General features: G+C 41.8%; 1 protein-coding gene across 19 annotated transcripts in view, besides 2 other annotated features; it reads right to left on the minus strand.

Annotated features, from left to right (window-relative positions):
* Nucleotides 1-26,626, minus strand: part of FYN (FYN proto-oncogene, Src family tyrosine kinase) — a 213,121-nt gene that overhangs the window by 92,288 nt on the left and 94,207 nt on the right. For 3 of the 19 annotated variants that reach the window (XM_047418571.1, XM_047418565.1, XM_047418567.1), the window contains exon 1: nucleotides 1,815-4,968. The exons of 12 other annotated variants lie outside the window; for them this stretch is intronic. The gene's annotated coding sequence lies outside the window, so the exon portion shown is untranslated. Of the gene's footprint in view, nucleotides 1-1,814; nucleotides 4,969-6,214; nucleotides 7,299-26,626 lie in introns of those variants that run through there. 4 more of the 19 variants (NM_153048.4, XM_017010653.2, NM_001370529.1 and 1 more) reach the window with 3 other exon arrangements.
* Nucleotides 11,890-12,466: an enhancer, noted in NCBI's record as "H3K27ac-H3K4me1 hESC enhancer chr6:112085712-112086288 (GRCh37/hg19 assembly coordinates)". NCBI's record gives its function as "activates a minimal SCP1, AML or CMV promoter by ChIP-STARR-seq in primed H9 embryonic stem cells {active_cell/tissue: H9 hESC(primed)}" and the evidence as "EXISTENCE:reporter gene assay evidence [ECO:0000049][PMID:30033119]".
* Nucleotides 24,264-24,323: a silencer, noted in NCBI's record as "silent region_17480". NCBI's record gives its function as "represses an Ori minimal core promoter by ATAC-STARR-seq in GM12878 lymphoblastoid cells {active_cell/tissue: GM12878}" and the evidence as "EXISTENCE:reporter gene assay evidence [ECO:0000049][PMID:35858748]".

Genomic DNA, 26,626 nt, shown 5'->3' on the forward strand with positions numbered 1-26,626 from the left:
AGTCCACCAGGTGGAATAGGGTCTGAGTGGGGAGGCAGTGGCTCCTCTGATCAGGCAAGCAGCCAAGAGAGGACTTGGACTGAATTTGGAGCTCAGAGGGGAGGCTCTGAAGAGTTCTAAGCAAGAATGACACTTGGTCTGGCAGCTCCATGCAGAATGGCTCTGCCACAAAAGCACCTGAAAGATGCTAGGAAGAAGTTTTAGCAGTCCAGTTCAGTGTTAATAATCTTGCTTTAGGAGGGTGGTGGTGAGGGTGGGATGGAGGGATAGACAGGGCTGTGAACTGGTGGAATGGAACTGGGCACTTACTTATCTCTAATATTCAAGCTTCCACATTCTAGTATTTGACAGTTTAGTGTAAGTGGGGGAAATTAACTTGAATGCCCCCAAAATAGAGGCAAAAATAGCTTTGGATAAAATTTAGTCCCATTTCTATATATATTGAAATCTCAATATCAATTAGTCTTACAGAAAAAACTGGTCTTGCAGAAGAAGTGTCAAGGCATGATATATGAAAGACAAGCTGTATTTAGGTAAACCTACTAAAGTGTTTTAGCATTTGGTCTGATCCTCCATACAGGATGCTTTCATAGGAGGAATAGTCATGCCACTTTCTATTTTGACAGGGGTCAGAGAAGTGTGGTTCTTTACAGATTTCAGTAATGCATTATCCAAAAAGGCCTCTCATAATACCTTTGGGAATAAGATAGGAAAATGTGGGCTAGATACTAGAACAATGAAGTGAATTATAATATTTAAGTGGGGCTGATTGGTGAGCTCAGGTCCACCTAGAAGGTGGTCTCAGGAGGCCTAAAATGGGGCTCTGAGCTCTTCAAAAACTTGTCAACATCTTAGATGAAGATATTGAAAATTTGTATGGTGAAATATTCAGATGGAACAAACTTTTGAAGGGACAGGAGTGACAATCTCAAGATATAAAAATATCTTGGTAGGCTGGAGTATTAGGCCACAACTGACATGATAAAATTAGTAAGGACAAATGTGAGGGCCTAAACCAAAAAAAAAAAAAAGTTGCCTAAGTACAGGACGGTGGACATGTGGTTTAGCAGCAGCATGTGTAAAAACAATTTGTGGGGAAGTGTTAGCTGAAAGTAATTTCAATTTAAGTCAATTGTTTGACATGGCTGCTTAAAAGTGTGATCTAATGTGGTATTTACTGAAATACAGCATTAGCTCCGGCCTCACTTAAGTTGGGATTCCAGAAACACTGAGAAACACAGGTGCTTTTGATATAAACATGTTGGGTATAGTTGCTTAACAAACCAAGCTCAGCTTAACCAGAGAGAAGTTTTGCTGGTCATCATGGAGGCCCTGCCCTTAGCCAGACTGAGCTAGGGAGGTTAGTAGGAAGAAACAGTGAAGGACTCACCAAACTAGAAGCTACACTTACCCATTCTATCCATTCTAGTAAGACTGAACTTTGATTTTTTTAAATGCAATGATAATAAAATTTTAGGCAGCAAGAGACAGAGCCCGGTCAGAAGGACAATACTGTTCCTCTATTCCTTATCAAATTCAATGCTAGGCAATATGAAGATATTTCTTTTATCGTCTGTCTGAATGTGGAACTCTTCTACTGTCTGAATATTTCTGGGCCCCAAGTTGGGGTTTACTTTCTTGATGGTTGGGAAGAATCATTTGGGTGAGGGGTACTGTGCCCATGACCCACAGCCAACTCCCGGCATGCACAGTAGGGCACCTCTCCCACGGGGAAGGAGGTCTTCGCAAACCTTTTACTACCTTTCTTCAATGTATAAACTGTGATCTCTGGAACTTTCAGACATAACACTTACCTCATGTCGGCAAATGAGAAGCAAGTTTCTCCTTATTCTCTATTAGAAACATAGAAAGCAAGCCAGCATAATTTCTAAACCAAGTTGGATCTTTCTTTAAAAAACAGGAAATTTGTTGCTATGCGTTGTTTTCCTTCCTTGAGCAGTATGCTGTTTATCTTCAGGAAAAGGATCACACAGATCCTGGTGTACATGCTTATGAACAACAGGCAAGGGTTACAGTCGCTCATTCTCATTTGCTTTCCTTGAGGGAGAGAAATCGTATGATGGGTTCAGTTGGTTTTGGCCTTAATATACAGTAGTTTCCTGAGAGGCTTCCTTAATAGGTGCCCACTAAAACATTCCTTAACACAAACACACAAACACACACACAACCTGAGTGTGTGTGTATAATCTGACAGTCTCTCAAAGCATGACCACACAGAATTTAGAACTTGTTAACAGTAATACGATGTTAAAAGGACTCGAAATTCTGTTGAGAAAAACTAATACAAACACTGGAAATTGTTGTGCTTAGACAAGAAAATTTAAGCTGTTTTTTTTTTTTTTTTAAAGAACGGATGGGTTGTATATGGCAGAATTTCTTCTTAGGATTTGTTTCTAATAATGAGAATGTCCCAAAGATGGTAAAGAATATCTTGACAATAGAGATTTCTTGGCAGAATTTGGATGAACAAATACTGGCTGGACTAGATGAGCTTTAAGGCTCCTTCAAGCACAGGAAAATCATAGCTATATGATTTTGATACTTTTTTTGTTTTTCTAAAATAGCCCATAGTGTGGATGCTAACAAGGTAATCTGGAAACAAATGCCTTGAGACAAGGGCTTCTGAGAAACTGGATTCATAGCTGCTTAGAAGCCAAAATAAAAAAAACCAGTATTTTGAGGGAAACTGGATAATGCCAATGGAAAGTTCTTTAATGTTCTTCCTGGAAAATGGTTATAACCATTTATAAAGCAAATCATCAGAATTTTAAGGGCAAAGTGACACATACAGTGAGAGATTTTAATAACACCTCTCTTGAAGAGATTGACAGATTAATAAGGATATAGAAGATGTGAGCAACAGAATGAAGAGATTTAATCTAATGGGCATATTTAGAACTCTGTCCCCACAGCCCCCATCGGAGAATATGCACTAAAGAAATTCACGGAATATTTAAAAAGAATTGACCATGTCCTAGGCCACAAACCAAGTCTCAATGCATTTTGTGGAAATAGTATCATACAAACAACATTCCCAGACCACAACAGATTTTTTAAGTTAGAAATCCGTAACAAAATGATTACTAAAGACTCTCATTCATTTGGGAATTCAAAATGATGCTGCTAATAAAACTCATGAATCAAAGAAGAAATAATTATGGTAATTACAACATTCTTATAACTGAGTGATGATAAAAATACTCCATATTAGAATATATCAGATTTCACTACAGTTTTATTTAGAATAAAATACTTAAATCTTGTCCTAGAAAGAAAAAAGGACTGAGAATTAATGAACAAGTATCCAACTCAGGAAGTCAGAAAGTAAATAAGAGTACATCCAAAGAAAGCAGAAGAAGAAAATAATAAAGGGTAGAAATTAAAATCAGAAAACAAAGATACACTAGAGAAGATGAACAAAGGAAAAGCTATTTATTTGGAAAGACTAATAAGAGCCAAATCTGATCAAGAAAAATACAGAGATGTTACAAATAATAACATTAGGAATGAATGAGAGAACATAACTACAGATTCAGCAAGGATTAAATAACAGCACACTACTATGAAGAAATATGTGCCATTAAGTTTGAAAATTTCAATGAAATGAAGAATATCACAGAAAAATTCAAATTATTATTCTAACAAGACAGAAACCTGAATAGTCTAATAACCTTTAAAAAACTGATTCATTAGTTAAAAAGCTTCTCATCCTTCCACCCAAAAAAATCCAAAAACCAATAAACACTAGGTTCAGATGGTTTTAGAGAAAAAAAAGTAAAAAAAAAATCTGTGTTTTAGATCAAAACCAAAAAAAAATGCAGGAGATAGAAAATGGAAAAGCACTAGGACTATCTCAGAACCAAATCCAAGATGGTAGGAAAAAGGAAAATTATGGACCACTCTCAGATATAAATACAAATGTAAAAATCCTAAATAAAATATCAGCAAACAGAACCCAACAATGCATAAAATATATCACGACTAATGTGGATTTTTGCTAATAATGCAAGGATGATTTAACTTTAAAAAATGGATGACAATAATTCCTGTACTATCCGATTAAAAGAGAAAACCCCAATGATCTTATCAATAGATACAGAAAAGGCACTCAGTAATAATTAACACATTTATAATTTTTTAAAATAGAAACTTTTAGCAAACTAGGATCAGAAGGGGACTTTCATAATCTAATAGAAAGTATTTACCAAAACCCAGCAGTAAGCACCATACTCAATGGTGAAATGCTAACAGCCTTCCCTTTAAAATCAGTAACAAGCTAAGGATCTGTGCTATCCCTACTTCCTATCCCCGCTATCCCTACTTCCTATCCCCTGTGCTATTTCCTGCAGGTCCTAGCCAGAGTGGTAGGAAAAGAAAAAATAAATATATAAAAGATAAAAGATTGAAAAAGAACAAAAACTTGTAATTATTTATAGATGGTATGTCTGTTACACAGAAAAACTAAGAGAATACAGATAAATTATTAGAATTGATAAGAGGTTTCAGCAAACGGCTAAGTATTAGTTTAATATGAAAAATTTTATTTCTATCCACGAGCAACAGTAAGACAAAGTTATTTTAAAAAATTGAGCACTGTGCTTATATTTCTTGACCTTCATCTCCTGCTCTTCAACAGGCACCTCAACCAGATAAGCACAGGATAATAAAAAAATTTAAGACAAACAAGTAACCTAATTATATTGTAAAACTCTGAGAGGCAGGGAGTATAATTTCATGGAAGACCTACAGGATTCCTCTCTATTCTATTCCCATGGAAAAATTTCACTTAAAAAAATGAGGCGTTGTAGATGGGGTTACTTTGAACTGTGGTGAATCACACTTATTCACTGGAAAGACACATAAGCAGGAAGTCCAGGCCTCTGCAAATCAAACTCTGCCTAAAAGGAAAAATATGGCTGATACCTTCTCTTCTACACAGCTTACAATAAAGTCAGCAGGAAGTGGCCCTCCAAAATGGCATCCCACATCAGGAAGGAGATGGATGCTATGAAGGGAGACATTGGTCAAGAGGTAGGCAAAGCTCTTAAGAAAGCTCTTGAATGCTTGGTTCTTCATTTACATGAAGATAATAGGGAGAGTTACTTCTGTTGAAATTTCACTACAACAAAACACAGGATGTCATTTAAATTCTAAGAACTTCTTGATCCAATTGCGTTCCCTGTACTCTTACTGTATATCCAGGTATGTCCATCGGCATGGGGGCCTGGTCAGCTCATGTTTTTAACAGTCTTAGAGAAGGAAACTATGGCACATACGATTTCTTTTTTCCACAGAGGGGTTGACTTATTACCATTTTTAATGAAGTGACAAAAAAAATGAGATAAAAGGGTAGAGAATGTTCTATATTCACGTGGATCTTGCTGGACAACTCACTCAATAAAAACATGGTTATCTGAAAACACTAGATTCTGATGTTGTTTTTAAAAATATGTTAAAAGCCTAACTCACTGGAAACATCAAAATAAGCAAAGATAGTAGACTGATTTTCTGTTTGATTAAATATAGTACATACCTATAATGGAATAGTATATAGCACTAAAATCATATTGCAACATAAATTTAGTGACTAAAAAATATTCACGGTGCACTGCTAAGTTAAAACAAAGTAGGATATAAAACATTAAGTCCAATTTGAAACCATGTTTTAAACATTCCTAAATTTGCACCGGGAAAGGACATTCAACAAAATACTAATGATGTGCGTGACTATCTCTGTGTGATGGGTTAATAGGTGACTTTTGTTTTGTTCTGTATCTTTAAGTACTTTACACTAGGGGTGTATATTAATGTGGACGTTATTTAAAAAAATCCACCATAATGAAAATGCCTAGAATTCACATCATATACATTTTTGGTGGTCACCAAAACATTCACAAACCAAGTATAGTTTCATGGCAGTGAAAATACCCAACAAAAGCCAAGTGTCCTGCTGATTGTTAGACTGGAGGACGACCTTTTCTCCTGAACTCCTGTTCTCCACTGGGCATTTGCCCTGGGGCATGGCTCAGTGCCCCCAGGAGACACTGAAATGGCTCAGTGCCATCCCAACAAGATGTTTCCTTCCTTTGGCTTACTCTCATACCATCAGCGGGGGACAGTGCAGACTGCAGCCCAGCATTTAGGACGGCAGGACAGGAATGAAAATTCTGGGCATGAACAAAGCTCCACTTACCACCTCCAGAACGCCGCTTCTCTGATTAGCAACTTTCTCCGATCTGAAGCGTGGCTTCCCAGCCTTCCACACCAGTGGCCTATATCTTTTCCACCAATCTCCCACTGCCCCTCACACACTCTCCAGCCAGGATGGAATGCACCTCCACATAACTGTCCATGCAGTTCCCACATCTTGTCCACCGGCCAGGCCCATGCGAGTCTTACCCTTCACGTAAGCCTCCCTTCTCAGCTCCTCAGACCTGCGCTGGTCTCCCCCTCTCTCAGCTCCTTGGCTTATACCCAACACTTGATCATTTGCAGGTGAGACAGTCACATTGTTTAACTGTTTCCTGTGCATGGCAGGGTCTGGTAAGGGTTGGGGCCAAGAATCTCTTTGATTCTTCCCATTGCCTTCTTCTGGCTTCTGGCACAGGTCTACAATATAGTAGGTTCTCAAAACCAGAACATAGATCTTTTAAGGTGGAGTGATTTCACTGGCACTTTTCCTGACAATGATTTTGTCAGCAATCTCTTCCTTCTGGTCTGCCTGTCTGCCTCTCTTTTTATGCTTGTCTCATCCTTAAGAGCAAAGAATGGCATTTTTCCTGCTCACTCTTCTCAGCTCATAAACAAATGGCTTCCTCTCTACTCCAGCCCTCGTGCAGTGGTGCTAACCGAACGGAGGCTGTCCACAACGGTGCTGGGTCCTCTCGCCTGCTCACTCCCAGGCACCCAGGCACTCGGTGCCCATTCTCATCAAGGACTGTGGATCTTTTGGTTCCCCCCCTAGGGGTTCTTGCCCTTCAGGACTTTGGTGGGCTATGTTCCACATTCATTTACTCACCCACTCATTCAGCACCTAGTTCCTTAGTGCCTTCTGTGTGCCAGGCACTGTTATGTAAACTCACTGTTGTATGTCTTGTCTCCCCACCTACATTGAAAGCTCCCCGACGGCAACGATTATCTGCTACGATTATTTAATTGTCACCAGAGAATCTAACACTGTGTTCAGAAAGTGAAAAATATTTACCTGACTGAAAGGAGAAGGAGAAAAGGAATAAAGCAGAAAGCTTCAGTTTTCATTCGATTATTCTCTCCGCTGTGGTTTGACTAGAGATGGCGTAAAAAGATAAGGCAAAACTTTGACTCTAGCAGACTGAGTACAGCCTTCATTTTTTTTTTTTTCTGGGCCTCTGTCCAGACCAAATGAGACAGTGACGTATGTGAAAACATTCTTTACGTTGCAGAATATTTTACAAATATGAAGTGTCATCATCATCACGATATGCGTCACCCATACCGTACTGTGAAAAGTTTGATTCCAAACAATAAGCAACCAAATCACCCCATTTTGCAAGCTCCTGCAACCAGCAGCATAATACAGCCAGAAAAAAAAGCTGACAGCCTGACAAAACCCAAATGGAAAATTAAAATGAGCAAGAACAGCCACACACCCAAAGAGAGAGCAAACCCGCACTGCTTGGAGGAGGAAATCCTCTAATTGCCTCCACACTCCTGCTCGCTTCCATCTGCTTGCATTTAAGGAAACCCAACTACTGGGCTCCTCGCAGCTGTAGAGAAAAAGATAGGCATCCTAAGTGCCTGGATGGCTGCAGCAGGCAGGGACCGACAAGAGGACAGAAGATCCACAGGCAAGGCTCAACAGCACATCTAAAAACAAATTTAATGTGTGTTATGCAAAATGGCAAACCAGCTCCCCTGGCTGTGAGGTCACATGAAATAATAACGGAACTCCTTCTCAGGAGAAAGGCAGCAGTGGCGTGTGTGGGCAGGAATGCTGCAGCGCGCTCCTCACACAAAGAAGCCCATGGGCCTCCCCTCAAGCTGGGAGTTGCACGGAGCCCAGGCTGCAATTAGGTTTCTTGTGGGGAAGTGACTGGAGACATAGGCACCCATGTTCCTCACTGTGGGGTAACTAAATCGCCTTTGGCAAAACTTCTTAAGTGCAATTATAGTTTTTAGAAATGCCAACCTTTTGATTCCAGTCTCACTTTGACCATTTCTCCCCTGCTCTTCCTATCTGAATCTCACCAGTCCCATTCTCCAGTCTGCCCTCGGCCTTCTCCCTTTCTGGACTGCTGACCACCTATGCTCAGGACCTTACTGTGCCTCCATAATCAGAGGGATCCCCTAAGGTGCAACCAAATTGTATAATTTAAAAAACTCCACATCTTGGAGAGCAGGCAGTTCATTGTGAGATGATGAAACTGTGGTGCAGAGATGCAAAGACACAAGATGTGTTCACATCACCAGCCAGTGGCAGGGACAGGGCCTGACAGCAGATATCTACAACTCAACATACATAATACAGAAAAAGGACACTAGCACTTGGTGGCACTTGTTACAAGCCAGAGACTAGGCAGGGAGCCTTCACATTCTTTATCTGAGTCCAAACCTGACATTAATCCTGTGAGCTGGACTAAGAAGTTAAGCCACTTTCCCAAAATCTTGCAGCCAGTAATGATGCCGATGAGATTCATTCCCAGGTCTGATTGCAAAGCCTGTTCTTCCTTCTAGCCTGTACTGCCAAAAGATTTCAGGGTGAAGGAAGCTGATGGAGTAGTTAACTCATGAGATGGGTTCCTCTTTGTGGCTGTATACCTGCTCGTGGTCTAGTGAAAGGAGAACAGTTAATGAATGGTATGAATGGCAGTGCACTGGAATTCTGGAAGATGAAGCTGGAAATCAGTAGGAAAGGTTGTTATTGAAAATGCCTTGGTTTCCTGGTGTGACCATAGTTTTATAATTTGTGGGGACCCTGGAAGATTCTAGAGAGGTGGGCTTTGTATCTCCAAGTGGCTCCCTCCTCCACAGCAGTCTAAAACCAGAAGGGCAGAGCCTTCCGGGGCGACAACCACTTGGCTTCAAGCACTGAAGGGTGGAGTGGATGCTGCCATGGCAGGCAAGCTTAGGAGGAAGAACAGTGGCTGCTGGGACCTCCAGGACGCTCTGCAGGGTTGTGAAAGGGGGCTGCTAGCTGCTTGCCCAGGGTCTCCTTGTACTTTTAGCAAAAAAAATGCTCTCGAGAATCCCCTGGACAGGCTATCTGCATCCAATCATCATTCCCAATGCTGAGACTGCTCAGCAATCCCTGGTCAGCTCACCGTCAAAGCAGGACCTGCATTACATCATGGAGGAGTGTGGGTGGCTCGATGTTTTTTATGTGAAGAAATTGGTTATGCCCTTCCGTGAGAAGGAACAGCTTCAACACGTAGGCTGTGTGTATGCAAAATGTTCCTTTGGGTAAATGGTAAAAAGAAATCATCATGGAATCCTATCTAAGTGGCTTGAACTGGAAAAAATAACTTGTTCATTTTATCTGGCTCTGGCTTTCCACGAGCAGCAGCGGTGAGGAAGCTTCCTGAGCTGTTGGCCACAGCTGGGGGCCACCCTGGGAGAGGCTTTGCTTCTGCATCTGGTTTTCTCAGTTCCCTAAGACCTCACCAGTTAATGCTCATTACTTATACCTCTAAGTAATGTCTATTTTATTGTAAACGATAATAAAATTCTAAGCCCCCCAAGTGACTAAGTGGACCCTCCTCTTGACCATGGGGATCCAAAGAAACCTGGAAAACTAGTTCAGGCCATGAAGGGAAGGTGGGGGTCAGATATGCCTTGTTATACCCTCCTCCCTTTGGAGTTCAGGCACAACTGGCTGGCATGAACATTAAAACAGAGACCCTAAGGCTGACAGAACAGACTCTTATAGCAATATGATACTAACTCCAACCTGACACTAGCATAACATCACATGACAGATAACAGGCCCTAAAAGGAAATCAAAGTATTTTACCCTAACATATATTTCCCTGATGTATTTTGAAATGGCCCTGCAAAGCTGTGTCTCTTGTGGGGGAAGTCTGCATGCAGGGGTGTCCAACCTTTTGTCTTCCCTGGGCCACACTGGAAGAACTGCCTTGGGCCACACATAAAATATACTAATGATAGGTGATGAGCTTAAAAAAAAAAAAAGTCCTTGCATAATTTTTGTGATATCTGCCACCTGCCACCACAGGTAACTAAAAAAGTCCTCGCATTCAAATGGCTGGACACGGGTGAGAATCTCCTTCCCTTACTAGGTCTCTTCTGTGACTCTGACTCCTTTGATAAGAGACATTTACATTTATGCTCTCCAAAGCCTTCTTCTTGGAGGTTTCATCCACATGACAAGAATCTTTATCTTTCAGGCCCCCTGACCCCACTTACCTCAACTGATTTCAACTCTTCAGGCAAAGCTTAATTCTTTGAACCGATTGTCAATCTGGAAATATTTAAATCTACCTATGACCTAGAAGTCACCCCCTCCTTCACCTCCTGGACACACACTGCCTTCGAGATGTCCAGCCTTGCTAGCCAAACCAATGTATACCTTACATGTGTGGGTTTCTGTCTTTGTAACTTCTGTTTCTATAAAATGTATAAAATCAAGCTGTAACCCAGCCACCCTGGGTACCTGTTCCTCAGGACCCCCTGAAGCTATGTCATGGGTCATGTTCCTTAACCTTGGCAAAATAAACTTCTAAATTGATTGAAACCTGTCTCAGATACTTTTTGGCTTACACTTTACTATTTTTAAGGTTTACTATTTTTAAGGTCAAAATTCAACCAAGTCTCAAAGCTCTCTCTTTGGAGCGGATATCAACAGGATAGGTATCTGAAAATAGCTTGTTTGTCTTGTCCACTGCTTGAGAGTTAAGACAAAGTTTGCTTTTGTTGGAAACCTTCCAACATTTTATTGTGAACAATTTCAAACATAGTTTTCATAATTTTACACTGAATATCCATATACTTACCACCCAGCTTTAAACATTAATATTATAACATACGTGCTTTATCAAATAGCTATGCATCTATTCATGCTACAAAACTTTTAACTATACATTTTTTCATGCATTTTATTTTTCTGAAGTGTAGCTTAGGGGGAAAAGCATGCTTTTCAAACATGAGTGTGAATGCTTGCTTGAGCACTTACTAGCTGGGAGACTTTGGGCAGGTGTGTAATTTCTTAGAGCTTCAGTTTCCATTGTTATAAAATGTGGGTAACAATGCCTATGGGTGCTGTGCAGATTAAATGCAATAAGGTGTGGGAAGTGCCTTGCACACAGTCAATTCAATATGCAGTAGGAACACATAACCAATTTTCAGCGCTCAGGCTATGCTATCTATGAAACAAAATTGAATTGGTCAAAAATAATGACAACAATTATCCAGCTATAGGTGAAGCAAGAATGGCAGAATGTTGATGATCACTGTTGGAGCTGGGTGAGGTTGCAGGGAGTCCAGTAGGCTACACTGTTTACTTTCTATACATTTGAAATTTTCCATAAAAAAAAATGAATAAAATGTTAAAAAAGAAAATTGGTCACTGGATTTTGTCAAGCAAAAAAAAAAAAAAAAGAAAAGAAAAAAAAAGAAAGAAAGAAAAAAGAAAAAAGCGATTTGAAATATTTAATAAGAAACCTCTGAGGAAGTAATAAGAAGTAGTGATACTGGGGTTACTGGTGCAGGGTTGGGGGCCCCACATCTCACTCTCACGGCTGTGGGGCAGCATGGGGAGGAGGAAGGACAAGCCTTGGGTATTTTGTAAAAGCTCCCCAGGTGATCTGGTTCACTCCTGAGTGAGAACTCCTGTGCCGGCAGAAAAGTGTGAAACCACACTTTCCAGCATATTAATTGTGAGAATAAGTACTTTGCATAATGCAAAGCTTGTGCCTCTAGCTAATTTGCAGGCAGATGACACAGCGTGAGAAGCCTCTGATTTAGTAGAATAAGAACTATTTGTAACCAAACAGCCTCCCTCTGTTAAGTCAGGGGTAGGTTAACCAAGGACCTAATTAGAGTGCATTCTCCCACGTCACTTATCAACTGTCTTAACTCGTAGAGCTAAGGGGTTCCTTTAGTGCTTTCAGAATTGGGAATCTGGAGAAAGGTGGAAGAAAAAAAACCCCATGGACAATGTTAAACAGAAGTAAAAGGAAAGATGCTCTTTTAAAAAACAAAATGTCACCCTCCTGTTCTAGTTCCTGAATTCCTTCCCTTCCCTGCTGTGGCTCATTCTCTCTTGTTCCCCTTTGCTGGCAGCTGGAGGCAGGAGGGTGCTCTGATGGAACCGCTGGGTGAGAAAATATGTGTCTGGAGCCCTCTCGGTGGGGCCGAAGCAGCGTCTTTGTGGGCTGGGATCATGCGGAGGCAGCTAGAGTAGGCAGGCCAAGCTGGGCCACCGCAAGGGAGCAAGGCCATTTGCTATCCTGTGGGTTTCCTGAATGAGGCCAGGAACGAATGCTTGTAACAGAGGAGACCTGCACACAGGGTGTGTGCACACATGAGCACACACACTCTCAGAGGATCAGAAGAATTTTTATACCTATGTGTGATGGACTGAATTGTGTCCCCTCAAATGCATGTGTTGAAGCCCTAACCCCCAATGTAACTGTATTTGGAGAAGGGGGCCTTAAAGGAGGTTGATGAAAAATAAGTTCAAAGAGGTAGGGCCCTGATCCAATAGGGCTGGTCTTCTTATAGGAAGGGGAAGAGACAGCAGGGGAACTTGCAGAGAGAAAAAGGCCATGTGGGGACACCAGAGACAGTGGCCATCTGCAAGACGAGGAGGGAGGCTCACCAGACCCTGGCCCTGCCTGCACCATGAACTTGGACTTTCAGTCTCCAGACTATGAGAAAATATGATTCTGTTGTTGAAGCCACCCAGGCCTTTCCCCTGACATAAATGCCCACCTGGAAGGAACCTTTACCTATTTCTCTGGCGTGTGTTATCTATGAATATGTTCTAAGACTTATTCATAACACTTCAGTTATTTTTAAGCACCTATGATGAAAAAGACACAGTACTGGACACAGAGGTGAATTTTCTAGCCTGATGGACTAGGAAGAAGTGACACTTAAGATGAGCCTTGCTGGATAAGCAGAGACTGACTAGAAATTAAAAAAAAAAAAAAAAGATCCTTGCAGCAGATTAGACTTAGACTCTAAGCGACAGCAGGAAGGCATCCCAAGAGGTTAGAAAATGAGTGTTCAAAGCCCTCCAAGGGCACAGAGATGGTTTGGTTTTGCTACAGGATCACATTTGAAGTGAAAGAGTTAGATGTGTTAAAGAGGTGGGTTGGACAGACAGATCATAAAAGGCCTCAGATGCCAGGTTAAGGTGTTTAGGCCTTTCTTGGGGGAATAACAGGAGCCTTGAGAAGTTCTGAAACAAGAGAATGACAAGATTGATATATGTGTAAAAAGGGAAAAGTGAAGAGACATGACACAGAGTAAGCACTTATGAGTGTCAGGCATCATGTCAGCACCACACTTCTTCTCTTTTAATCCTCAAAACAATACCATTTTGGACATGAGAAAGTTGAGTCACAGCAGGGTGGTCACTTGCCCAAGACCCCACAGCTGGTCAGCAATGGAGCTCAGATGCAAGCACATGCCCAGTAGCAAAGTTAATGCCCTGCCCTTCCTGCCATTTAACCTCAAGCTCACCTCCCACACCATCATCTATTTTCCTCCCAGTCAGAATGGCTATCTTAACAGAGCCTGGAATGTACATTGCTTTTAGGGTTGGAAAGCAGGCAGATTAACCACAAAAAATTTCCAATGCACAGGGCACCTCTAGAAATATCATTCAGCCTTCTAAACAAAGCCATATGTAAACCAGCTCTTGCTGTCTATATTAGTCCATTCTCACACTGCTAATAAAGACATACATGAGACTGGATAATTTGTGAAGGACAGAGGTTAAATTGACTCACAGTTAAGCATGGCTGGGAAGGCCTCAGGAAACTTACAATCATGGCAGAAGGGGAAGCAATCACATCCTTCCTCACGTGATGGCAGGAAGGAGAATTGCCAAGCAAAGAGGGAAAAGCCCCTTATAAAACCATCAAATCTCGTGAGAACTCACTTACTATCACGAAAACAGCAGCACGGGGGTAACTGCCCCTAAGATTCAATTACTTCCCACCGGGTCCCTCCCATGACATGTGGGGATTATGGAAACTACAATTCAAGATGAGATCTGGGTGATGACACAGCCAAATCATATAATGTCTTTTCCTATCACAACACAGTCAAAGGGTCAAGTTGGGAATTCTCCTATTGTGTCCTACAATATCAAAGTAACCAATGATCATAATTTACACATAAAGCTGCAAAAATATATAGGGGATATAGTTGTCCTAGGTAAGCAGCCACCCCAACATCGACTATATTTTTAATGCAATATAAACAGCTGCTCTCAAATAACCTCTGCTCCCCAAATCCAACAAGATCACCCAGTATCCAGGAAAATACAATGCTGTTTTCTGTGTCTACCTTTAAATGACAAAGTAAGTCATGCTATGATCATTTGATCTTTTGACATAGCTGCTCTTCTAAAACTTCAGGTATATTGAAAAACAAGAGTAAAAATCAGGTAAGAAAGAGTTAATTCCCTTAATATATAAAAATCAAAACATACCATGCCAGTAGAATAATTCACATTTTCTTAAATGTGCTCTCCTTCAAGGGCAAAGATTTTTGGTATTTTGGAAGCAATACTTACAAAGATAACTTGGGCACTATTTTTTTATTTTTCTTTTAGATGAAGTCTCGCTCTGTTGCCCAGGCTGGAGTGCAGTGGCGCAATCTCAGCTCACTGCAACCTCTGCCTCCCGGGTTCAAGTGATTCTCCTGTCTCAGCCTCCGAGTAGCTGGGACTACAGGCATGCACCACCACACCCAGCTAATTTTTTGTATTTTTAGTAGAGATGGGGTTTCACCATGTCAGCCAGGATGGTCTCGATCTCCTGACCTTGTGATCCACCCACCTTGGCCTCCCAAAGTGCTGGGATTACAGGCATGGGTCACCCTGCCTGGCCCTTAGGTGCTATCTTGAAAATTACGTGTGTACTCTAAGATACAATTGTGGCTAATGGTTTGTTAGAAGAGAGACAAAACTGCTAAAAGCATCACTTCTATTCTGGCACCTACTGTGTGCCAGCACTGAGACCTGTGCTGGGACTAGATAGATCAGGATAAGCAAACTGAATCACATCAGGGGTTGTTAAAATCCCCTTAAAACTAATGAGGGTGTAAAAACTTTTTTTTGACGTTAGAATCAAATTCTGAGAGCTACTCCTTTGAAAAACAGGCAGCACACTTTTCACTTCCTTGCCTACTCACACCTCAGGAATCACGTGCTGTGGCTTTTCTATAAAATTTTCACAACACAGCCTATCTCTTCTACCTTCAAAAAGCAGGGGGGTGGAAGTGGGAATATGTGCATGTATGTGTGTGTGCACACATGCGTGTATGTGGTTGTTGGGGATTCCTCCCTTTTTGCTCTATAGATATACTTTTCACACTGTGGCATAATTGTTGGATATGGTTCTTATCCATTAAACAAACTCCTTCGAGGTATATGCTGTGTCTGGATGTATCTCTGTTTTCCCAGACTAGGAACAATGCCCAGCACTGTTCCTTACATGTTTACTGAGTGAATGAATGATTGTTTCAACTGTGAGTTTGTCTTCAGACTCCAGAACGTTTGACAGTCAATATACTCCTCATGGTAGGGAAAGTCAAAACTTTCAAAAATTTATATGCATGTGTACAAACAGATTTCAGGACAAGCTTATTGAGGTGTAATTTGTATACAGTAAAATTCTCCCTAAGTATTGATAAGTGGATACAATTGAGTAAGAGCAGGTGGTTCCTACACACTTGCCAGGGCCCTGTTCTCCGGGACTCCGAATGAATGGAGGGACAGTGGGGCCTGGGAACCTGGATTTTTAATATCATCTCAGGTAATTCTGGTAAAAACCCCAGGTCAAGAGTCCCTGAAGCAGATGATGCTCTGCCACTATATTTTATATTTCCTTTCCTTTTCTCATCCCCAGGCCCATCCATCACTCTCAGTCAACTATTAATATTGAGGATGAAACCAAAACATTTCTGCTCAGCACCATACTTGGAAACAAAATCTAGGTACTCAGCCACTTGGCTGGAGTCAACTATAATTTCTGGTTATTTAGCAGAAATACAGCTGCTAAATGACATTTTGAAATGAACATGAGATATCCACTTAAAGAAATGAAAAGGCTTTGAATCAGCATGGGATAAAAGGATTGTGATTTGGGGGCTCTAAGTGTGTATTACTCTAGGGAAATGGTGGGGAAAGAGAAGAAACCAAGCCACTCACAACAACACTGTTCTAATTCCAAATGCAACCCCACACCTGAAGTTTTTTAAATGGTGGATTTTAGGGGATCTGTGAATAGTGAGGTTGACATCAAGTCAAAATCCAAAGGATACAGCACTGAAGGGAATGTAAGAAAATTCATTTGTATTACAAGAGGGCTGGCTTTGCAGTGCCATCCTTCAGTTACTGAAAGATATCAAAAAACATGATCTCCTCTAGCCTTCACTTAACTGAGAATGTTGGAAGATGTGGGGTTCTGGCCTCTAATTAGTAATATGGGACAATCTTTTCCCTATTTGAATTTCAATTCTTACAGCTAAGGGTTTGTATTTTAGTAAAGTCTATCACAACAAACTCCAGGAGTCTGTCGCCATTCTTTTGTCATTTTCTCCCCTGAGATTGTGATTATAATCTAATAATTCAAGTAGTGGGGTCAGTGGTCAGAGACTTGACATTTAGTGGAAATGGAATCTAACCTTTACTGATATTTCATTGTGAGTAATACTCAAAATGGGACTGACATATTGGGAGACTATTTGACTAGTTGGAAAAAAGAAACCTAACCACTGTTAATCAAAACAGAGGTATAACTGGTATAAAAAACAGACACAAGGCCTGCTTGTTCTGCTGTGGTCCTGGGGAGATTACTAGCTAGTAAATATTTTATGAATCCATTGATTAAGATGGGACTTTAAGAAAGAATGAATTAAAAAAAAACACACACACCCTGGCTTTGAAAAATGCCAATGAATTACTTCTAAGAGAAAGAAAATTATGGAAACTCTGCTGTGGAGAAGTTTAAAAGTATGCTTTACACTATCATTTACAGGCAGTGTATGTTGGTCTCACCAGCTGCCAGGGCTGGTAGAAAACTGCTGAGCTAGCAGTTATGACCAAACCAAGCATCTCTCTGTAATTAGAGTTAGCTGGAGAGGGGGAGAATGGCACAAAGAGGACAGGAATATGTGGTTTTAGATGGGGGGAGGGCAAAAAAGCAGATCAAGTTTCTCTTGAGATTTAAATTAAAGAACATAGCTGGGTGTGACCTTGGACTATGTCTTCTGTACTGCTGTGCTGCCCAACACCATAGCCAGTAGCCACACTGGGCACATTTCAAGTGGCTTGTACAAATTGAGATACGCTGTAAATGTAAACTACATATGAAGTTTCAAAGACTTAGTACAAAAATATCTCAATAATTTAACATACTGACTGTATGGTAAATGATAATATTTTGGACATATATTGGGTTAAATAAAATGTAAAGTTTAATTTTACTCATTTCATTCTACTTTCTTCTAAACTGGCTTCTAGATAGCTTTAAATTGTACATGCTGCTTGACTTTGGTTTCTATTGGACAGTGCTGATTCAGACCTTTACTTCTTCACTTGTTAAATGTGGCTGATGGTGGGAAGCTGGGGTGGTTCAGATGGGAAGAAACATTGTGGGTGACAAGGTGACAGGTCAGGGTAAAGCATTATGGTGACTGCTTGTAGACTGAAAACTTTAGCTTAGGGAGTATGAAGAACAATCACAAGAGACCCAAGCTAATCAGGTCTGTCCTAGTTTATTTTGTGTTCTTATATATCTGTGACTGGGTAATTCATAAAGATGAGAGGTTTATTTAGCTCATCATTCTGCAGGCTGGCAAGTTCAAGTAGCATAGTGCTGGCATCTGCTCAGCTTCTCAGGAGGGCCATGTGCTGGGTCAAAACATGGCAGATATGTGTGAAGACGCCAAACCTAGGAGGGGTGTCCTCACTTTGGAAGAACCCTAACCATTCCCTCGAGATCTAATCCAGAATTGGGAGCATGAGAACTCTCTATCGTAAGAATGGCATCCAGCTGCCCATGACCCAAATACCTCCCAACACCGCCACAGTGGGGATCAAATTTCAGCATGAGATTTGGTGGGAACAAACCATAGCAAGGTTTACCTGGGTCCTCCTCAACCTCTCTGTGCTTCAGGCGGTTAAAGTGTAAAATGAGAGGCAGGACCAAATTCTTGCATGATGAAGTAAGTCTAGAGAAGCTCTTTACCTGCACCATTCCCGGTCACTCCAAACTCAAGAATAATTCTGGTAAAAACAAGTAGAATGACCAACAGAGATCTTTAGCCTCTGCCTGGACCCATCTGGAGAGTCACTGCTATTTATCTGTTAGTTCTGCTTCAGTCCCTCTCAGGGACTGAGCTGACAGAGTTCCTGTGACATGTTAACACAGTTAAAGACACAAAGAACAAAGAGTGCAAGATGGGAACAACAGATGTCACACCCTTCTTAAGGAGTCAGAAAAATTCAAAACAGCAAAATCCTACAGATGATATGTAGAAGGAAATGTATTTGTTTTCCTTTAAACTTACATATGAAATACCTACTATTGTAATGTTAACCTACCAATTAAAAAATCCAAGATTTTATAATAACACCTTAACCTATTAAGTAATCCAGTTAAATAACACTTCTATGAAACCCAACTTTCCCCCTCTTCAAAAAATCAAACATCCCCCAAATCAAAACACTATCACTTCCCAAGCATATTAATTTCTGTGTAAAAGAGGATGTTAAAAACAAACATACAAACAAATGACAATGAAATTCCATTTATAAACAAAGCCTTGGCCTACCCAAGGCTGCCTCAGACAGCAGTAATGCTGGTGCTGAAAACTGGCAACTGGGCTGGTGAGTTCCGTGTATCTGAATTAGTCACCGCCATTGAAAAGTCGGAATGGTTAACATAAAGATCCCGGTTTCCAGTCAGGCATGGCTCGTCTGAGGTCCAGCAGTACCTGCCCTTTAGAGGTGCATAGCTTGTGCTTCTCCAGCTGCAGTCTCCTGGCTGACTTTCCTTGTTTAGGGACCTACTCAGTCAGGCAGGCACTTGTGGCCTGAGGCAAGAACTGTAGTAGTGGGGGCAGGGATGGGGGGCATGGCCAGAAGGGATGAGAGGGAACATGGAATTGTTGAAAAATCCTAGCTCTAAACCTGACAGATATGGCTTGATCTTACTCTCCCATAGAGTCTGGGTGACCTTGGGCAAGTCACTTCACTAGTCTAAGCTGTAATGTGGGAAGAAAGTGAAAAATGTTCTACACATGAGGAGCCTGTGTGGTACCTAGCATGTAGTAAATGCTTTGCTAAAGTTATTCCTTCTTAACCCAAGGGCAAGAAAAAAAAATGTTTAGCCTAATCACAGCAAAATCCAGGTGACCATCAAGGAAATGGCTAGAAAACCATCACTGCAAAAATATGAAGGCCCAGGTCATACACTACGAATAATTCAGGAAGAGAAAGGAAAGAGTAAAAAATATCAGACAATATTCCAAAGTAATAACTGAATCAGGTGAGGATTATCCATGGTTACTCAAGCCACTGGATGAAAGGAAGGCTGGAGCAGGATGTTCACAAATGACCCATGTATCAGACTACAGATGATTTATTAACTCAAGGTGCACCTTGACATTGGTTAGGTCTGGTTACCATCTTACCCAAGAGATGAAACCTAGCACTGAGGATGGTGGAACAAGGTGACTTCTTCTGCTCCCTGATGTGATATAATATCAGGTGCATGACATCATTTATAAAGTATTCTTGGCAAAAGATGTTTAACCTCCACTTAATAACAAGCCTCTAGATCTAACCAATTTTAGGAAGAGAAGAGCATGCTAAACAATGCTGTGAAGAAGCAGACAAGCCCAGAGTGTAAGGCACTGTATAGCACAGCGAACTTGAACTTTTCAAAAAGTCATTGTTTAAAGTTATATAATGAATGAAGGAAAAGTTATCAACCAAATTCATCAAGTGTATTTGATCAGTTACAGATTTTGGGGTGGGGGCGGGGAGGTAAGTTATAAAATATTATTTGGGACTGTATTGTTGAAATTTGAATATGAATTGAATATTAGATAATATAAAATTATTATTAAATTTTTAAGATGTGGAAATAGTACTATAGTATGGTTATATAAAAGAATGTCCTTATTCTTAGGGGACGGGTGGTGAAATATTTAGAGGTAAAGTGTCAAGATGTTTGGTACTTTTAAATGGTTCAGCAAAATTTTATATAATATGTATAATTTATATATATAATTAGAAGAGGGAATAAAGCAAATGCTGCAAATGTAGAACAAATGGTGAATTTAGGCAGAGGACATAAAGTGTTTGTTTTACAATTCTCCCAACCAGCAAGTTTGAAATTTGTTTTATAATTCTCCCAACCAGCAAGTTTGAAATTTTCCAAAATAAAAAGTTGGGAAAGAAACTGGGAGAGAAAGAGAGGGAGGGAGGGAAAGAGGGGAGGGGGAGGGAGAGGGAAAGGGAGAGGGAGAGGGAAAGGGAGAGGGAGAGGCAGAGGAGGAGGGGGGGAGGGGGAGGGAGGGAGGGAGGGGGTAGAGTGAGCGGGAGAGGGAGAGGGAAAGGGAGAGAGGGAGAGGGAGAGAGTGGGAAAGGGAAAACGAGAGGGAGAGGGAGAGGGAGAGCGGGGGAGGGAGAGCGGGTGAGAGAGAGGGGGAGAGGGAGAGGGAGAGGGAGACGCAGAGGAGGGAGAGGGAGAGGGGGAGGGGGAGGGAAAGGGAAAGGGAGAGAGGGGGAGGGAGAGAGGGGGAAAGGAGAGGGGGAGGGGGAGGGAGAGGGGAAGAGGGAAAAGGAGAGGGAGAGGGAGAAATACAAAACAGGAAAGGAAAAAAAGATGAGATAATATCACTACTCCTTCTCTCCCTCTTTTAGAATCCCTTCAACATCTATATTCAGGTCAGTTGCCCTGGGTTCCTTTTCATTCAATATGGTTTTATTTTTACCAATTTAATAAATTTCATTGTGTGCTCATCAAACTGATGTAGCCACTGTCTCAGCTCCCTTACTGGCTGACATCAAAACTAAACTTTAAACAAAACTCCAACAGCTCCTGTAAGGGTTCACCAGATAGGTATGACGTTTAAGATAACAAATCAAAAACTTCTGAAATCAACACCCAATTTGCTATCACGATGGTTTTTAAGTCAGGTGGATGCGAGGCTGTGGGCCGAGCATCCTACTGGGCTCTCATCTTTTCCAAAGACAGTACTCTCTCTCACACCTGCACTGGACACTGATAGAGATAGGACAGGTACAATATAACATGCTGGCTAGCCAGGCCACTGGGGTTTTAGAGAGCCTGTTTCCATATGGAGTGGGCCATGCCTGAGTTCTGATGCCTGGGGCAGCAATCGCATGACCTGCAGAATAGCCACTCTGGATTCAACTTTCAGGGACTGAGAGCTCCCAATGAAGTGGAAATTAATTCTGTGATGCCTTTAACACAGAGAGGGCTATAAAGGATCTGGATTCAGATAGTGCGGGTGTGCACCTGGCTCTACTGCATTCTAGTACAACCTCAGAGCAGTGTTTCTCCATAGGGGTGCTATGAACACTGTGTTAGGGACAGCTCTTCACTGGGCAGGACTGTTCAAGGCACTGCAGGACATTTACCATCCCTGCCCCACTTTCTCTTGCATCATGTGCCAATGGCACCTCCCAGTCTTTGTGAGGACAACAACAAACCCCTCCCCATCCCCCCCACACACTCCCAAATGCCTCCTGCCTTAGACATCAGCTAAATTATCTGAGCCTCCAACTGGTGATAACATTGCACTGCCTAGGAAGTGGTTTGGGAAGATCAAATGTGCTGCAGCTTTTTCCCCCCCTACTTATTAAGGGGATGGAGTCCCCTTAATTTTTGAGATGCAGTCTCACTCTGTCACCCAGGCTGGAGTGCAGTGACGTGATCTCGCCTCACTGCAACCTCCACCTCCCAGGTTCAAGTGACTCTCCTGCCTCAGCCTCCTGAGTAGCTGGAATTATAGGCGTGTGCCACCACATCCGGCTAACTTTTGCATTTTTAGTAGAGATGGGGTTTCGCCATGTTGGCCAGGCTGGACTCGAACTCCTGACCTCAAGTGACCCACCTGCCTTAGCCTCCCAAAGTGCTGGGATTACAGGTATGCGCCACTGCACCCAGCTAGCTGTTTACAAACTTAAATGAGCTATGCCTACGATACCCTAATATGCATCTGCACAAGCAGCCTGCCATCAGAGGAAAGGCTGTGGGGTGGGACCAACCACCTGGATCCCAGGTGGGAACTATTACAGTCTTATCTCTCTAGTCATGCACTAGAATATGTGACAGCTACTTGTTCTGAAAATGTTCCCCTTAATAAGTGGGAAATTTTGGTTTATAAGTGTTGCTACAGATAAAAACTACAGCATAGTGTGAATTTTAGAGTGAAAGCAGATGGCAAATACTTGGGTGATTGTAGCAGAGGAGCAGGATGGCCTCCCGCAAAGCAACTTCAAGGAATCTGGTTTAGAATGTTGCCAGAACTAACCTGGAACGAAAATGATACTTTTCTTAGTGAGCAAGTGATACAATGACTGTGGAAATTACTTTAAGAACCAAGGTTACACAGTAACACAGAAGTTGACACCCTACCCTCCTATGCACAGGGCTGATTTTCAAAATGATGTGCTTTAGGGATCTGTTCTTTAAATATGTAAGTGACGCTTATGGAAGGGAATCAGTCTTAAAGGCGGGGCCAGACTGCTGCATACAACCTCAAATGGAACTGTAAGCCCTGAAGAAAAGCTGAGAATGGAGACTGGAACAGGGATTCTCACAATTTCGTGTGCATAAGCACCGCCTGGAGAGGCTGTTAAGAATAAAGTCACACACCCACCACAGGGATTCTGTCTGATTCTACCAGTCTGGGGTAGGCCAGGATCTGTGCGTTTAATGAGCTCTTAGGCCAGTTCTGAGGAAGGGGCCCACAGGCTGCTCAGGGAGTCTCAGGGACACCTCTCCAGAGGGCTCTCTGGTGGGATTCTCCGCCTTTAACTCTCCCCATGGGATATTCTTGCTCTCATGTTATGGCCTTCATGACTCAGAATTTAGGTAAAAGCATTTCTCCAGCCCCTAGGTCTGGTTGGATTTTGGGTTACAAAATTGTCCATTTTCACTCTTCATCTCAGCTTCTCCTCCCCCTGTACACACATTGTGTAAATAAGAAGCTAATTTTATTTTGCAGACCAGACAGCAAGTTCTGACCTCTCCTTGAAGGCCAAAAGTCTCAGGTATTAACAGAGAAGTTAATAGGTAGAGTGGGTGAAAGGCACAGTCTTAAAGAACAAAAGTAAAAGCAGATACCTACCCTGGGTCACAAGCCAACAGCAAAGGCATGGAAATGGCCCCTGAGGATCACCCAGGGGTTGGAGTGGAGCAGGGGCAGTGCTGGCTGGGACACAAGGGGTTGCAAATGGATAGTTTTCCCACAGATACTTACATAAAAATATCTAGTGCCAACACGGTGTTTTTATCACCTCCCTCAACTCTGTTTATTAGTCAGTGTTGCTGAATGCCTCCAAATCCCATTCATCTTAAAAACAGTAGACTGATAAAATCTCTGTTATCTCTGGACTTGGCCATCTGAAATGAGATCTTTTATCTTCCATTTCTCTGGCTTTCCAGAATACATTTTCATAGCATTCTTGCAAAAGAAAAGACTATCAGAAAAAGAAAAATGAAGGGTAGTAAAGTTGAGAGAATATTACACCACAGCTTTTGGTAAGAAAATATTTATGTCCACAAGCACACACCACACCCTTTCTGGGAAGATATTACTGGCCTAGAAGCCGGGTGAGTGCATCCCAAAATATACTTCACAAAAAGCACCATTACCCTCCCAAAATAGGCCCTATAATTAGGTAAAGTCTTTTGCAGTGGGTTGTCCTATATCATAAATTGACATATGTTGCTTTAATCTCCCTGCTTCAGCAAATGTAGCCATATTAGGCTACAAAAGCTCTCAGCGACTCACATGTAAACCAGATTGTGGTGTCACTAGCAAACTGATGCAAATAAACAGCTCTGTGTACCAAAATACTCAATCTCAATCATCTGTAATGAGATCTCTCTCCTCCCTAAGCACATTTTCATCACACCAGAACCGCCTTGATTCAAAAAGAAAGACTAGCCCAGACTGAAATACCGTTTAATCTTAGAGGTCATCAAATGACTAACACATCTGAAGAAGCTGGGGTTAAAATTTAAAATACGAGACAATCTCTTTGTGTAAATGCTGGGATCATGTTGTGTGAGTCTTGTTTTTATCTTTAGTTGACCGTCATTCTGTATAAGCCGTCAGAGGCCCATCTGTCTGTCTGAATTCATTTAGGTCATTTTTCGCTTGGAGTTAGGGGTAATAGAAGGGATAGCCTCTTAGCAGCCTTTCCACTCTGATGATTTTCTGAACGAATTTAAGTTTTTTAGCTGTATATTTACATAAATCAAATGTTAAGATATTTCCATTTTTAAACCTTCAAAATAATAAGTACTTTATAAATATTTACACTTTAAAAATTACTTATAATCTCAGAGTTTCTCAGCTTGGTATTACTGAGATTTCGGGCCCGATTATTCTGCATGTGTGCACGAGTGTGCGTTACTGATCTACGATATATTTCAAGACATTTGGCAGCATCTCTGGCTTCCACCCACTAGATGCCACTAGCACACACCCTCCTCCCTCCCCTAACTGTGACAACCCAAAATGGCTTCAGATATTACCAAATGTCCTCTGGGAGGGCAAAACTAACCCCAGTTGAAAACCACTGCTCTATGTATTTACGTGTTTATATATCATTCCTTGGCATGGCCAGAAAAAAGAAACCTAGGCTTTTCAAGGCACCCACAAGTTTAGTTTGAAGAATTTCAAACTTCCTATGACTTGTAATGAAAAATCGGAATCTGTGACACAGCACTGCCTCTAAAGATCCATCAACAGCACCATGCTGCCTCAGACTGAGGGTGCCAGGACCTGGCTTCATTTCAGACAAGGCCTGTAAGAGGATGAGCTGCGCCTGGGCTCTTTCTTGCACTGCCACCCTCCCTACTTTTAGGAGCTCCTTTCTTAGAAGACTGCACTAAATAAATCCTTTATGATCCATGACCAGACACTTCATACTGATTGTGAAGGAAGAGGATTGGGTGTCTATTAACAGCATCCACAGAAGCAATGCACCCTCTGTGCTCCTCGTGGGCCAGACCTGTGGGGCAGCGTGTCTAATGCTGGCCTAGGTGCACAGGAGAGGTGTGGGGAAGTAGAGGCCTCCTCAAGGAGCTCTGCCAGATGGGGAGGGATATGAAAATAGCATCAGAGGACAAAGAGGCCAGGCCCGGGAGATGGTAAATTCACCCAGAGAAGAAAAGATGAATGAGGAAGGACAGTGTCTTCAAACATTTGGTGGGCTGGAGTGTTAGAAAGTGAGTGGACTTACTTCGAAGGTGACTAAGAGCAATAGGTGATTCAATAAATACTTAACACATTTATGCCTTCTATGTGACAGGCACTATCCAGGCACCAAGACTCCAGGGAGGAACAAGACCAAGTCCCTGTCCCATGGAGCACATATACTGTATTAATAGTTCAATATAAGGACTAGATTGCTTTTCTTTCCTCCCTCCTCCCTCTCTCCTTTGTATTCCTCACTTTCTTTTTTTCTTTTTTCTTTCTTTCTTTTGTTTTTGTTTTTTTTTTAGATGGCGTCTCGCTGTGTCACCCAGGCTGGAGTGAAGTGGCGTAGTCTTGGCTTACTGCAACCTCTGCCTCCTGGGTTCCTATTTTTAGTAGAGATGGGGTTTTATCATGTTGGCCAGGATGGTCTCGATCTCCTGACCCTGTGAGCTGCCCGCCTCAGCCTCCTAAAGTGCTGGGATTGCAGGCGTGAGTCACCGCACCCAGCCTCCTTACTTTCTTTTTAACAAGTTGGGCTAATTGTTCAATTTTTAAATGCTGGGGTTTTTTTTCTTTCCATTTTTAAAATTCAGGTCTAATTAACATTCAAGAGAACTCACCCTTTCTATTATACAGTTCTGTGAGTTTTCACCAAAGCATACAACTGCATAAATACCACCAGCACTAAGATACAGAACAACTATATACCCCCTCCTCACAAGGGTTTCCCTGTAGGCCCTAACTGTCCTTTTAATTGAACCAAGGTACCCTGTGCAACAGCAAGCTCCTCATCTCTGGAAGAATTTGAATTCCCTTGTCAGGGATCAGTAGGAGACATTTTTTTTTTTTTTTTTTTTTTTTTGCTAGCAGGGGATTGGGCCAGACAACCCTTGAAGCCATGTCCCTCTCTTTGATTCTATGAAATGGCAGCACAGTCACCTACAGACATCTGACCTTAAAC

Source organism: Homo sapiens, chromosome 6 (genome assembly GCF_000001405.40).
Source record: "Homo sapiens chromosome 6, GRCh38.p14 Primary Assembly".
Taxonomy (NCBI): Eukaryota; Metazoa; Chordata; class Mammalia; order Primates; family Hominidae; genus Homo; species Homo sapiens.